Source organism: Homo sapiens, chromosome 1, assembly GCF_000001405.40.
Source record: "Homo sapiens chromosome 1, GRCh38.p14 Primary Assembly".
NCBI lineage: Eukaryota > Metazoa > Chordata > Mammalia > Primates > Hominidae > Homo > Homo sapiens.
The window spans coordinates 66,363,364-66,376,159 of NC_000001.11; the positions used below are offsets into that span (position 1 = coordinate 66,363,364).

At 39.4% G+C, this 12,796-nt stretch overlaps 1 protein-coding gene across 12 annotated transcripts in view, besides 3 other annotated features; it reads left to right on the forward strand.

The window, feature by feature from the left end:
- Positions 1–11,216, forward strand: part of PDE4B (phosphodiesterase 4B) — a 582,070-nt gene extending 570,854 nt beyond the window's left edge. For 7 of the 12 annotated variants that reach the window (NM_001297441.1, XM_047422401.1, XM_017001445.2 and 4 more), the window contains 6 exons: positions 44–208; positions 2,304–2,403; positions 4,333–4,487; positions 4,580–4,702; positions 5,424–5,606; positions 8,950–11,216. In NM_001297441.1, the coding sequence (NP_001284370.1) occupies positions 44–208; positions 2,304–2,403; positions 4,333–4,487; positions 4,580–4,702; positions 5,424–5,606; positions 8,950–9,315 (1,092 nt within the window). In that variant the 3' untranslated portion in view covers positions 9,316–11,216. The remainder of the gene's footprint in view (positions 1–43; positions 209–2,303; positions 2,404–4,332; positions 4,488–4,579; positions 4,703–5,423; positions 5,607–8,949) is intronic. The other 5 variants (NM_001037341.2, NM_001297440.2, NM_002600.4 and 2 more) reach the window with 1 other exon arrangement.
- Positions 9,458–9,547: an enhancer, noted in NCBI's record as "active region_1156". NCBI's record gives its function as "activates an Ori minimal core promoter by ATAC-STARR-seq in GM12878 lymphoblastoid cells {active_cell/tissue: GM12878}" and the evidence as "EXISTENCE:reporter gene assay evidence [ECO:0000049][PMID:35858748]".
- Positions 9,918–9,967: an enhancer, noted in NCBI's record as "active region_1157". NCBI's record gives its function as "activates an Ori minimal core promoter by ATAC-STARR-seq in GM12878 lymphoblastoid cells {active_cell/tissue: GM12878}" and the evidence as "EXISTENCE:reporter gene assay evidence [ECO:0000049][PMID:35858748]".
- Positions 10,914–11,093: an enhancer, noted in NCBI's record as "active region_1158". NCBI's record gives its function as "activates an Ori minimal core promoter by ATAC-STARR-seq in GM12878 lymphoblastoid cells {active_cell/tissue: GM12878}" and the evidence as "EXISTENCE:reporter gene assay evidence [ECO:0000049][PMID:35858748]".

Below are 12,796 nucleotides of genomic sequence, written 5' to 3' on the forward strand. Positions count from 1 at the left end.
TGGACATCTACTTATTTATGTTCTAATCCATTTTACAACACAGGAAAGAGACCTCCTAAAGACATTCAGAATCTCATCTGACACATTTATAACCTACATGATGACTTTAGAAGACCATTACCATTCTGACGTGGCATATCACAACAGCCTGCACGCTGCTGATGTAGCCCAGTCGACCCATGTTCTCCTTTCTACACCAGCATTAGACGTGAGTAATTATGACCTGTTTTGCATTCCTGCCCATCCTCCTTCAAAAATGCCATATCAGCTGGATGTAGTAGCATGTGCCTGTAGTCCTAGCTACTCGGGAGGCTGAGTTGGGAGGATTGCTTGAGCCCAGGGGTTCAAGGTTACAGTGAGCTATGATTGCTCCCCTGGACTCCCGCTTGGGCAACCCTGTCTCTAAAAAAATAAAAATAAAAAAAATTTAAAAAGTGCCTTACAATATACAATATACTTACAAAATTAATGTAATTAGACCACCCTGCATACTTGAACAGGTTCTTTATAAAATGTATCACATCCATTAACTGAGCTATTTATAAAAAATGAATGACATTTCTACTTGTTTTGCTTTCTAATATCAGAGTAACCTTCCCTTTACATCTCTTACTATTAAAAGTATTTAACTGTAAAGCAATTAACAGAATTTCAGGGCAGGAATCATGTCTTATTCTTCATTGTATTTCTACTAAGGGATGCAGTGTATCTCAAAATATCTTGTTCAGTGTCCGGTAAATAGTATATTCTCAATATGCAATTACTTATCTGAACTGCCCAATGCCACCCTAGGTATATATAGAGCACTATATTCCAAGGGGGATATCACAGAAATATAAAATACTCTCTATATTTCTTATTAGTAATAAGCATCCAGAGGCTTAGTCTCCTAAAAAATTATAAAACTGATGCAATGTGTTGAAGAAGTAGTAACTAAAAATCTAGAACAGAAGAATTAATGATGCTGAAACAAGGAGAAACAATATTCATATTTGCCATACCAACTCTGAGAAGGTGGCCGTGGCTCCCTTCCTTCATAGATTAATGCATTTGTGTATACCGATATCATCAACAATGTGTACAGCAGGTCATACTCTTACTTGACAAATGAAAATGATGGTCAAGTACTCCCAAAATGTGCTGGACCACTGCAGGAAGAGACTGGCCATGCCCTGTCCAGCCTCACCTTTACAGATTCAGTTTGGAAGGTGAAAAAAGATTGGCCACAACTTTTTTGTGGCAACTCTATTGCTTGTGTTGCATATTTTCTAAGAAAAGAAATCCAAGAAATCTTGAGAAAGTGAGATGGAGCTAAGGGTGTTTGATCCCTCTGAAGGAGAGAAAGAGTACTGTTTTTATACCCTGTGTAAGTATCATAGAGTGAGGCAACACTATCTATCAACTGCTCACTGTTATTAATAGTATACCTGCTGTGTGGCCAGAAATTGACAATGATGAGTGCTGCAAACTTTTTAGAAAAGGGAGAGCTCAATGAGTGCTTGGGTAATGTGATTGGTCTTTATAGGAGAGGTGGAAACCCACCTCAAGCTGGCATTTGAAGGACCAGAAGATTTAACTAATCACAGAGGATGAGGAAAGACATTTCAGCTCTAGAATGAGCACCAGTATATACCTTATTAATACTAGGTTTGAATCATTGTGCATGGGTGGGGGCAGAGAAGCATTCATGACATGACATGAAGGAATTCAGCAGTGGGGCCTCAGGTTTCACTTCTTAGAAAGGTTCTCAAATCTTCCCCTAGTAAGTGATTAGTGGGTACGTACTGAATGAATGAATAATATCTGAAAGCTTGTGACCACACCATAAATTTAGCTTTGGGAAATAATTTATTGCTTATCTTATGAATCGGGAGTTTGGCCATTTTTCTCTAAGTTATTCAGCTAAGAGTATATGAAGGTTGTTATGTCTCAGAGCAGAGCCAGTCTGACTTGCTTCTTTGACTTGTATCTGCTTGTGTTACATAAGCACCATGCTGCCACATCACTGGTCCAAGAAACAAACATTAGACGTTTACACACTCCATGAGATTTGTGCTAATATCTTTCCAAGCATCAGCCTTTAGGCTTGATGTGAGATTGAGCTCTGGCCATCATCCCTTTCACATCAGAGACTTTATGATGATGAACAGAATCTACATTTACTTAAATTAGTATATTGAGATATTACATAAATCAACAATCCCTCTCCCAACAAGAATAAAGTAGGATACTTTACAAATGAAACTGAATAAGCAGGATAGGCGAATTGGATGTGTAGTTAAATGTGTTTATTTGCCCGACAGGCTGTCTTCACAGATTTGGAGATCCTGGCTGCCATTTTTGCAGCTGCCATCCATGACGTTGATCATCCTGGAGTCTCCAATCAGTTTCTCATCAACACAAGTGAGTTCACCACTACAGCAGTCATTCCAGATAATTGTATGATTCACTGCTTAATTTTTTTCCTCCTAATGTTTTCATTATGGATAATCACAAGGATAATAATGAGGCAATCCTTCCATTTCTCTCAAACTGGTCAGGCCTTTCGTGGATACTCAGTCCAATCTGGCAACACAATGTTTGAGCTGCATGGAGAACTTGGAGAGGGTCATAGGGGAGCCATAAAAAGTACTCAAAATTTGGCAAATACAATATGTAAGGAAAGAATAATAGATATGGAATTATTCATAAAGAACAATAAAAGGTTTGGGGATCCCATGATAATGACTTTTTATATTATGCAAAACTCTCGCACAGAGCATAGTAACTCACTACTGTCCCTATCTGCTTGGGAAGCAGCCACAAATGTTGAATCTGCACATGGGAACCTCCAGGTAAAAATAAGATGCCATAAAAAGCACTGGAATGAGTTTCCACAGTTCAGAAGGAAGGGTCATTAAAAGTTCCATACATTTTCTTCCAACTGCATAGATTTGATTATGGATTGGGAGTAGCAATGACCTGAGTGACCAGGGGTGGTCTAGCCTTAGGATTCCAAGCCATACTCAAAGCTTTTGTCATGCTTAAAATGTTTAGTTTTCATACCTTTGAAAATCCATTCATTTTCTCAAATAATGTACTATCTCTAAGTGCTGGAAATCTAAGTACTTTGAGAATATTGGTTATTGTAGTCATGAATAACATCAAGTACTGACAGTTTTCTAGAAATGCTTTTTGAGCTACTTGCTGTAAAAGAGTCCTGATCATCAGTCCTTGACCTTTATCCAAAGAATATCTGAATGACCTAGGTTTGGAGTACACTGGGTCCTTTTACTTCATTCTTCTGTTGAACAAACAAAATGTTGGGGCAGCTACATGTCTGCATGGATTGTATCAGTTGGTAGAATGTGGTGTCATGAATCATATATAGGCCAGTTAGCCTCACACAGAAAAATGGTCTATCTACCACAGTCACCTATAGCACTGCAACATATAAAGCCTGCTTGTAGATCTGTGGCCTTGATCACAGGATGAACAAAACAAGAGTACTCATTGGAGGTTGTAACTAAGAGCACACTGTTAAAGCAATGATATATGTGTAACAGAACCTGTAATTAAGTAACACATTACCACCACTTGTCTGGTATTCTTGATTAAGAGAAAATGTGGTTTCATAAGTCTGATGACCATATTCTCAAGCAGACTTCTGTCTAACAAAAGATGCCTGTGATTCTTCTATATAAAAGGCAGGCTGGAAGCTGCAGCTTAGGTTTCCAGATATTGCAATTTCTGGTGGAGAGAGCCAAAAGACAGAAAATTTGACATCAGAATTGTTCCCAAAAAGTAGTAATGTTTAGTATCATATTAATAGAAAGCTCTAAAAAGTGACAGTATTTGGGTAAAATGAAGTTTTACATCAAGCATTATCTTTAACCATCCAAAATTCACAATTGCCGGAGATTAGGGAGAATGTAAAATGTGAATATAGCTTGAAAGTCTCAATACAATTCATAAAGTTTAGTGGTACTTTCATGTTGTTCTTTTCCAAAGTACAAAATTTTTGAAGATACATAAAAATAGGATTTAGCTGCTCAGGAATGCCCTTACCTAATATTAAATTCTTCATCTGAGATATAGAAGGAGTAAAAGGATTTTAAAATACAATGAATTTTAATCACAGGGAAAGCTTATACACCAGTAGAAGCATTTTTTGCTTAGAAACTGATGACTTCTGTTTGTAGAGGGCCACTGCTTCTCTAAGAGGAAATGACATGTAGCTGGTGGTTCTTGAAATAATTTGGAGAGAACTAGGTCTGATTTCACTTTGAGATAATGCCAACATTCAAATCATATCCCTTTTTAATTAAGTCATCATTTGGTCTGATTTATTAGATTCAGAACTTGCTTTGATGTATAATGATGAATCTGTGTTGGAAAATCATCACCTTGCTGTGGGTTTCAAACTGCTGCAAGAAGAACACTGTGACATCTTCATGAATCTCACCAAGAAGCAGCGTCAGACACTCAGGAAGATGGTTATTGACATGGTAAGACTTTAGCCTCTCTACATTCCTCACTTACTGCCATTCTCTCTGATAGACTGAATTTATTAAGAGTTTTCATTTTCTTTTTACCCAAGGTGTTAGCAACTGATATGTCTAAACATATGAGCCTGCTGGCAGACCTGAAGACAATGGTAGAAACGAAGAAAGTTACAAGTTCAGGCGTTCTTCTCCTAGACAACTATACCGATCGCATTCAGGTATTTGAGGAAAGTCTTTGATTTAACACAAAACCAAACCAAACTAAGCTGAACAACAATTAGAAAAAGAAAACAAAGATAAATTCAGTTATTGGTATATCCTAGGCTACTCCTATAGCTTAGGGCTTATTTTAAGAACAAGCTAAGGAAAATGGACATTCAAGTTTATCTTCTAATTTATGAGGAAAAATAATCTCTATTTGTGGAACTGCTTATTAGTTATATAAATAAATCGCAAAATCTATTTGTAATAGGGCATACGTGACTGTTGGTTCCAAAAGCTTGTGTTTGGATTTAAATCCCATTGACTTGAAGTTTGTTAGGTCTGTTTTGGATATACAAATTGCCATCAGCTGTTCTCCTCTTTCCACAAGTGGAAAATATGAAGTTATCTACTTTGAGTAATTCTTTGCATTCTTTCCAAACTGAGAAAAGGAAATGATAGCAGCATCTGACCTCTAATGTTCCTTCCAATTTTTAAATTCAATGACTGTCGGTCTAAGAAGACACACGTTTTCCCCTTTGGGACTCTATAAAAGTAAATAACTGACCCAGGCTAGCATCATTGTAATTCCATTTTTTTTCGGTGCATATGTCATAATTATAATGCAACTAAAATGTTCTCGGGTTTAGTACCAAGCGTACTAGTATGAGAGGCATGAGATGTTCCGGCAGTATTTACACCTAATTTTATGAGATTTCCAAAACTTGATGATTTCAGGTCCTTCGCAACATGGTACACTGTGCAGACCTGAGCAACCCCACCAAGTCCTTGGAATTGTATCGGCAATGGACAGACCGCATCATGGAGGAATTTTTCCAGCAGGGAGACAAAGAGCGGGAGAGGGGAATGGAAATTAGCCCAATGTGTGATAAACACACAGCTTCTGTGGAAAAATCCCAGGTATCTAATATGAGATTTTCAAAGTTTTTGTGAGCTCTGCTGATTATAGAGCTGGAGGGTTCTATTTAATTCCGTTTTTCCAATAGAATATGTATATATGAAACAATAAGGAGACAACTACGCATTTTGTTCCATTATAGTCAGGACTCATGCGACTTCTCCATTACACTCAGTTTCACAGGGTGGGGAAAAGTAGTCATCAGAAACCCATCAAAATTTGGACTATGTGTCCCTAAATCATTTAGATAGTTGTCTCTGATGTTAGCAAATCCAGCTGAATAATATGAACATCAGTGTCTCCTCCATCCCAACCCTCTGGATTTCTCCTAGCTCTGTCTTCATTCAAGAACTCTACTCCTCATCCTTGCTTCCAGCCCTCTGTTTTTATCTTCTGTCCTTAATCAAGCCCACGGTGACCATCACCAGAGGCAGTCTCTTTTACTGCATAGTCAAAGCCCTGTCTTGTCTTCCCTCCCAAGGATGCTTCTATGCTTTTGAGAACATGCTGACATTTTCTGGTTGTGTCCAAAGCAACACATTCTGTGTGTGCTCAGGACAGGGGACAATAGTCTGGAGGGGTGAATACAGAAATGTCCAGATGCCAATAGCTGCAGAATATGCAGCAATGGAAAGTATCAGTATCCATACAAAGATTTTTCAAGAAAACGAATGGGCTGAGCCAAGTAGCTGAGATTGAGAATGAGTTCATAGACTGTCCAAGATCTTTATCCCAAAAACATTTGGATTGTTTATTTTCAGTATTTATCCTCTTTCCCTACTACCTGGATACTCCAAATTTGCATATACTTGTAATATTAATATACAGTTCCTTTGCAATATTTATTTTGTTGCTTCTTAGAGAAACCCAACTAAATGAGTTTAAAAAATCTGTGAAAGGGCTGGGCACAGTGGCTCATGCCTGTAATCCAGCACTTTGGGAGGCTGAGGTGGACGGATCACCTGAGGTCAGGAGTTCAAAACCAGCCTGGCCAACATGGTGAAACCCTGTCTCTACCAAAAACACACAAAAAATTGGTCGAGCATGGTAGTGTGTGCCTGTAGTCCCAGCTACTCGGGAAGCTGAGACAGGAAAATTGCTTGAACCCAGGAGGCGGACGTTGCAGTGAGCTGAGATTGTGCCACTGCATTCCAGCCTGGGCAACAGAGCAAGACTCTATCTCAAAAAAAAAAAAAAAAAAAAAAAAAAAAGAAAGAAATCTGTGAAAGTGCTCTGAAGTCTAATATACTGTAAAAATGCAAGTTAACATTGTTAATGAGGGTTAATTCGAATAGCCCAAAGGCTTAAGTGGAACAAGATATGAATCAGTAAGGAGGAATAACACCCTTTTATTAATAGCAGTGATGTTTTATGTTTATATGATGTTCTGTGGAGCATTTCACACATTTTCCATACATTATCTTACTTGGATCCCCAAACAGCCTTGCAAGATAGATAAAGTAGATATTTCCCCAGCATGTCAGGTGCAAAGCTGTCCTCTTGGTCCACTACAGCAGCTCTCTCATCCAAAGCTCTTCACTCTCCATCTTAGGGACAGGTCTTCCTGTTGCCATGACATCGTTATCCACTCTGGTATTTCCCACCAATGGGCTCTGCTGAACACTGTCTGATTGGCCCAGCAGTAAAGCTCTTTACTGGGTGCTCTCAGGATTCATACAGCTCTCTCGTCCTGTGATCTAGGGAATAAATAACTAGCAGCTACCTTTCAAAAACATTCTCAGCATTTCTTAGCAGAAGCAAAACAAGCGAAGAAAGGAAATGACTGCACTGTGTTCAGCTTATTCAATTTTCTCCATTACCTTGAGCTTGTTATTTTGGGTCCCTGGAAAACACCTTGAAAATAGTCTCTAACATTCATTAAGCACACATAAAGAAGTAAAAGGGAGGGAAAAGGAGTGGGTGGAAGTGAGAGAAATATCTGAATCATGTACGGTTGAGTTTTTGTAACCAGTATAGATCAGAGATTCCCTGACTTTGCTGTGAAACTTCCTTTTTAAGGCTAGGAAAGCACCAGAAAGAAGAAGAATAAGAAAATATATATATATCATACATATATATATACACACATCATACATATATATATATATATATACACACACATCATACTATATATATATATATATATATATATATATATATATATATAATTTTATTTATGAAAGAATCACATATGACCAAAGTTCTTGTGTACAGTACAACTTGGATGTATTAAATGACTGGCCAATTACCAACATGTTAATAAAGGAAAGTTTCCAGTAGTGTGGAAAGAGACCTATATAATGTCCCATGGGTGGGTGCCCTTTGACCATCTACCCCTAAATCCCAATGCAGCATCTCTGTAGCTCCCCAGACCATGGCAGGGGAATTCCCTTCCCTCATTCAACTAGTGCCTGTTCTTTCTCTCTACTTGTCCCCACCCCCAGTGTTTCCTGTTTGTCCAACAATGAGGAGGCCAGCGTAAGGCCACACTGCTAGCTCATGCAGGATGCATAGCCCCTGAGTAAACCATAACAGAGCCATAAGCCTGGTATTTAATCACAGGAACATCAGCAAAAGGAACTGCTTAATTGTTTTTTATTTTCCCTTCTTTCACCTGTTGGAAATGACTGCGTGCTCTGTAGATCCAAAACAATTGCATGGATGTCCACCGAGGGGATATGTGTTTCTTTCAGGGCTCAAAGTATTTTCACGTGTTTCATCAAACTCCTCTACCAGCCAAAAGCATTCCACAGAACTTGAGAAATTCCAGAGTAGTCAGGAGCCAGCTCCTCATCACTTTGGAATAGCAACATATTTTAAAGTTAACAAGGAAAAAATATTGAGTCAAAACACGTTAGACCTGGGCCTGCCTTCTTCAGAAAATGACTCACAGAATCCAAGTAGTGGCAAAGTCATTCTTTGTCTTTGGGTCCCTGGAAATCATGAGGATTCCATCCAGACTTCTTATCTGGCGCACATAAAAGGAAATGCAGTCTGTTGTAGCAAGATGAACACGGGCTTTGGAATCAGATGAAGCTGGGACTGAGTCCCAGCTCCACCAGTCACTAGTTATGTGACCTCTGACAAGATATTTAATCTCAATAAGTCGTAGTTTCTGCCTTTGTAAATAGTAAACAGCAATACTTACCTTCCAGGATTAAGAGAGAATACATCGATTGCATTCAGTGTAAGACCCACTGTATTGTGAGTGCCCAAATCATGGAATCCATTATGATTGATCTTTCTGAAGTTATTAATGTTCTTTCTTTGCATGGAAACCAGGAAACCTTGTTTACTTTTCAAGCACCATCACAATAACAGATGTGTCATCTTATTTTTCTCCAGGTTGGTTTCATCGACTACATTGTCCATCCATTGTGGGAGACATGGGCAGATTTGGTACAGCCTGATGCTCAGGACATTCTCGATACCTTAGAAGATAACAGGAACTGGTATCAGAGCATGATACCTCAAAGTCCCTCACCACCACTGGACGAGCAGAACAGGGACTGCCAGGGTCTGATGGAGAAGTTTCAGTTTGAACTGACTCTCGATGAGGAAGATTCTGAAGGACCTGAGAAGGAGGGAGAGGGACACAGCTATTTCAGCAGCACAAAGACGCTTTGTGTGATTGATCCAGAAAACAGAGATTCCCTGGGAGAGACTGACATAGACATTGCAACAGAAGACAAGTCCCCCGTGGATACATAATCCCCCTCTCCCTGTGGAGATGAACATTCTATCCTTGATGAGCATGCCAGCTATGTGGTAGGGCCAGCCCACCATGGGGGCCAAGACCTGCACAGGACAAGGGCCACCTGGCCTTTCAGTTACTTGAGTTTGGAGTCAGAAAGCAAGACCAGGAAGCAAATAGCAGCTCAGGAAATCCCACGGTTGACTTGCCTTGATGGCAAGCTTGGTGGAGAGGGCTGAAGCTGTTGCTGGGGGCCGATTCTGATCAAGACACATGGCTTGAAAATGGAAGACACAAAACTGAGAGATCATTCTGCACTAAGTTTCGGGAACTTATCCCCGACAGTGACTGAACTCACTGACTAATAACTTCATTTATGAATCTTCTCACTTGTCCCTTTGTCTGCCAACCTGTGTGCCTTTTTTGTAAAACATTTTCATGTCTTTAAAATGCCTGTTGAATACCTGGAGTTTAGTATCAACTTCTACACAGATAAGCTTTCAAAGTTGACAAACTTTTTTGACTCTTTCTGGAAAAGGGAAAGAAAATAGTCTTCCTTCTTTCTTGGGCAATATCCTTCACTTTACTACAGTTACTTTTGCAAACAGACAGAAAGGATACACTTCTAACCACATTTTACTTCCTTCCCCTGTTGTCCAGTCCAACTCCACAGTCACTCTTAAAACTTCTCTCTGTTTGCCTGCCTCCAACAGTACTTTTAACTTTTTGCTGTAAACAGAATAAAATTGAACAAATTAGGGGGTAGAAAGGAGCAGTGGTGTCGTTCACCGTGAGAGTCTGCATAGAACTCAGCAGTGTGCCCTGCTGTGTCTTGGACCCTGCCCCCCACAGGAGTTGTACAGTCCCTGGCCCTGTTCCCTACCTCCTCTCTTCACCCCGTTAGGCTGTTTTCAATGTAATGCTGCCGTCCTTCTCTTGCACTGCCTTCTGCGCTAACACCTCCATTCCTGTTTATAACCGTGTATTTATTACTTAATGTATATAATGTAATGTTTTGTAAGTTATTAATTTATATATCTAACATTGCCTGCCAATGGTGGTGTTAAATTTGTGTAGAAAACTCTGCCTAAGAGTTACGACTTTTTCTTGTAATGTTTTGTATTGTGTATTATATAACCCAAACGTCACTTAGTAGAGACATATGGCCCCCTTGGCAGAGAGGACAGGGGTGGGCTTTTGTTCAAAGGGTCTGCCCTTTCCCTGCCTGAGTTGCTACTTCTGCACAACCCCTTTATGAACCAGTTTTGGAAACAATATTCTCACATTAGATACTAAATGGTTTATACTGAGCTTTTACTTTTGTATAGCTTGATAGGGGCAGGGGGCAATGGGATGTAGTTTTTACCCAGGTTCTATCCAAATCTATGTGGGCATGAGTTGGGTTATAACTGGATCCTACTATCATTGTGGCTTTGGTTCAAAAGGAAACACTACATTTGCTCACAGATGATTCTTCTGAATGCTCCCGAACTACTGACTTTGAAGAGGTAGCCTCCTGCCTGCCATTAAGCAGGAATGTCATGTTCCAGTTCATTACAAAAGAAAACAATAAAACAATGTGAATTTTTATAATAAAATGTGAACTGATGTAGCAAATTACGCAAATGTGAAGCCTCTTCTGATAACACTTGTTAGGCCTCTTACTGATGTCAGTTTCAGTTTGTAAAATATGTTTCATGCTTTCAGTTCAGCATTGTGACTCAGTAATTACAGAAAATGGCACAAATGTGCATGACCAATGTATGTCTATGAACACTGCATTGTTTCAGGTGGACATTTTATCATTTTCAAATGTTTCTCACAATGTATGTTATAGTATTATTATTATATATTGTGTTCAAATGCATTCTAAAGAGACTTTTATATGAGGTGAATAAAGAAAAGCATGATTAGATTAGTCTGTAGGCCCACTTATTTCACAATTAGTTCTGACATATGAAAAGCAGATCTTTCTCTTCTCTTGTGCCATTCCCCACAAAGAAAGCCAACCACTGTGTCCAGCCAACATCACAACTGAAGTTTCAGAATCTATGTCCAAAAAGTCCCCTAGTTTGGAACATTTCGCTTTTTTCTTAGCAACTGTTCACCCAGCTCAATGATGCAGGAAGGGGGTTGAGGAAGGAAAACAAAACAAAACCACTTTGCTCATCTCGAACTATTTCCTTCTACCTCTTTAAGAGTCTGAAGAGTTTAATCTACTAGATAAATAAGGGAATCCCCAACTTGGCTGAGTCCTCTAGAAAAGTGAATCATAGATTATAGAACATTAGTATAATGCAGTCAGAGAGTCCCATTGATTCATTTGACACATGAAGAATCTGAGGTCCAAAGAGTCATCTTAAACCACAACCCACAGAGCATGGGTGGACACTCAGGGTTTTCTCAGTGATCCATGCAGCCTCTTGTTGGTCATATGGCTAGGATTTTCTTTCTGGAAAGAACTTTTTATATATAAGAAAAATACTTAATGCTTTGTTGAAATCTTAAAGTCAGCATTTTAAAATATTTTATCCTGAGAAGAGTGTGTGTGTGTGTGTGTGTGTGTGTGTGTTTATGTGTGTGTTTGTTGCAGAAGGTTGCAAACAAGAATCGGTGTTGGCCCATAATAATTTAGCCACAAGGGAGTGCTCTGTGAACCAGTAAGATGGTCTTCTCTAAACACAGCTGAAATTAAGATGAGCCGACATTTCAGAACCAGCTTGCCTGCTAGTTGCAGAGCTATTTCCAACATTTTCCATCATCTCTGATATCTGATTGTGCCTCACCATCTCTGAGAGTTTGAAAAGGAGCAAAATAAATTGCTTACAATAGCCAGAGGTGTGAGTTTTACAATGCCCAGAGCTAGAAATATTTGCAGGTTTGTTTTCTACTGAGAAGAGGTTCTTAATTAACCCTTATTGCAAATAAGAATCATGTGGGAAATACATATATTTAAAAACACTTGTTTGGGGCCCATCCTCCTCCCAGATTTCTGATTGAATTGATCTTGGGCAAAGCCCTGGGCATCAGATTTTAAAAATTTCCCCCAGGCTGGAGTGCACTGACATGATCTCGGCTCACTGCAACCTCTACTTCCCAGATTCAAGCAATTCTTGTGCCTCAGCCTCCCATATAGCTGGGACTACAGGTGCATGCCACCACACCTGGCTAATTTTTTGTATCTTAGTAGAGATGGGGTTTCACCATGTTGCCCGGGCTGGTCTCGAACTCCTGAGCTCAGGCAATCTGCCCACTTCAGCCTCCCAAAGTGCTAGGATTATAGGCACAAGGCACTGCACCCAGTCTCTCCCTAGGTAATCTTAACGTGCAATTGGAGTAGAGATCCACCGCTCCAAAACAGAGAATCATGCCTGCAGCTGAGGTGTTCTTTCACCCCCACTGTCTTCAGATATTCATTGTGAACTCATCATGGACAGCATATTATGCCCAATATAGCTATTTTAAACAGTAAATTTTGTTATATCCTGGTTTTATCTT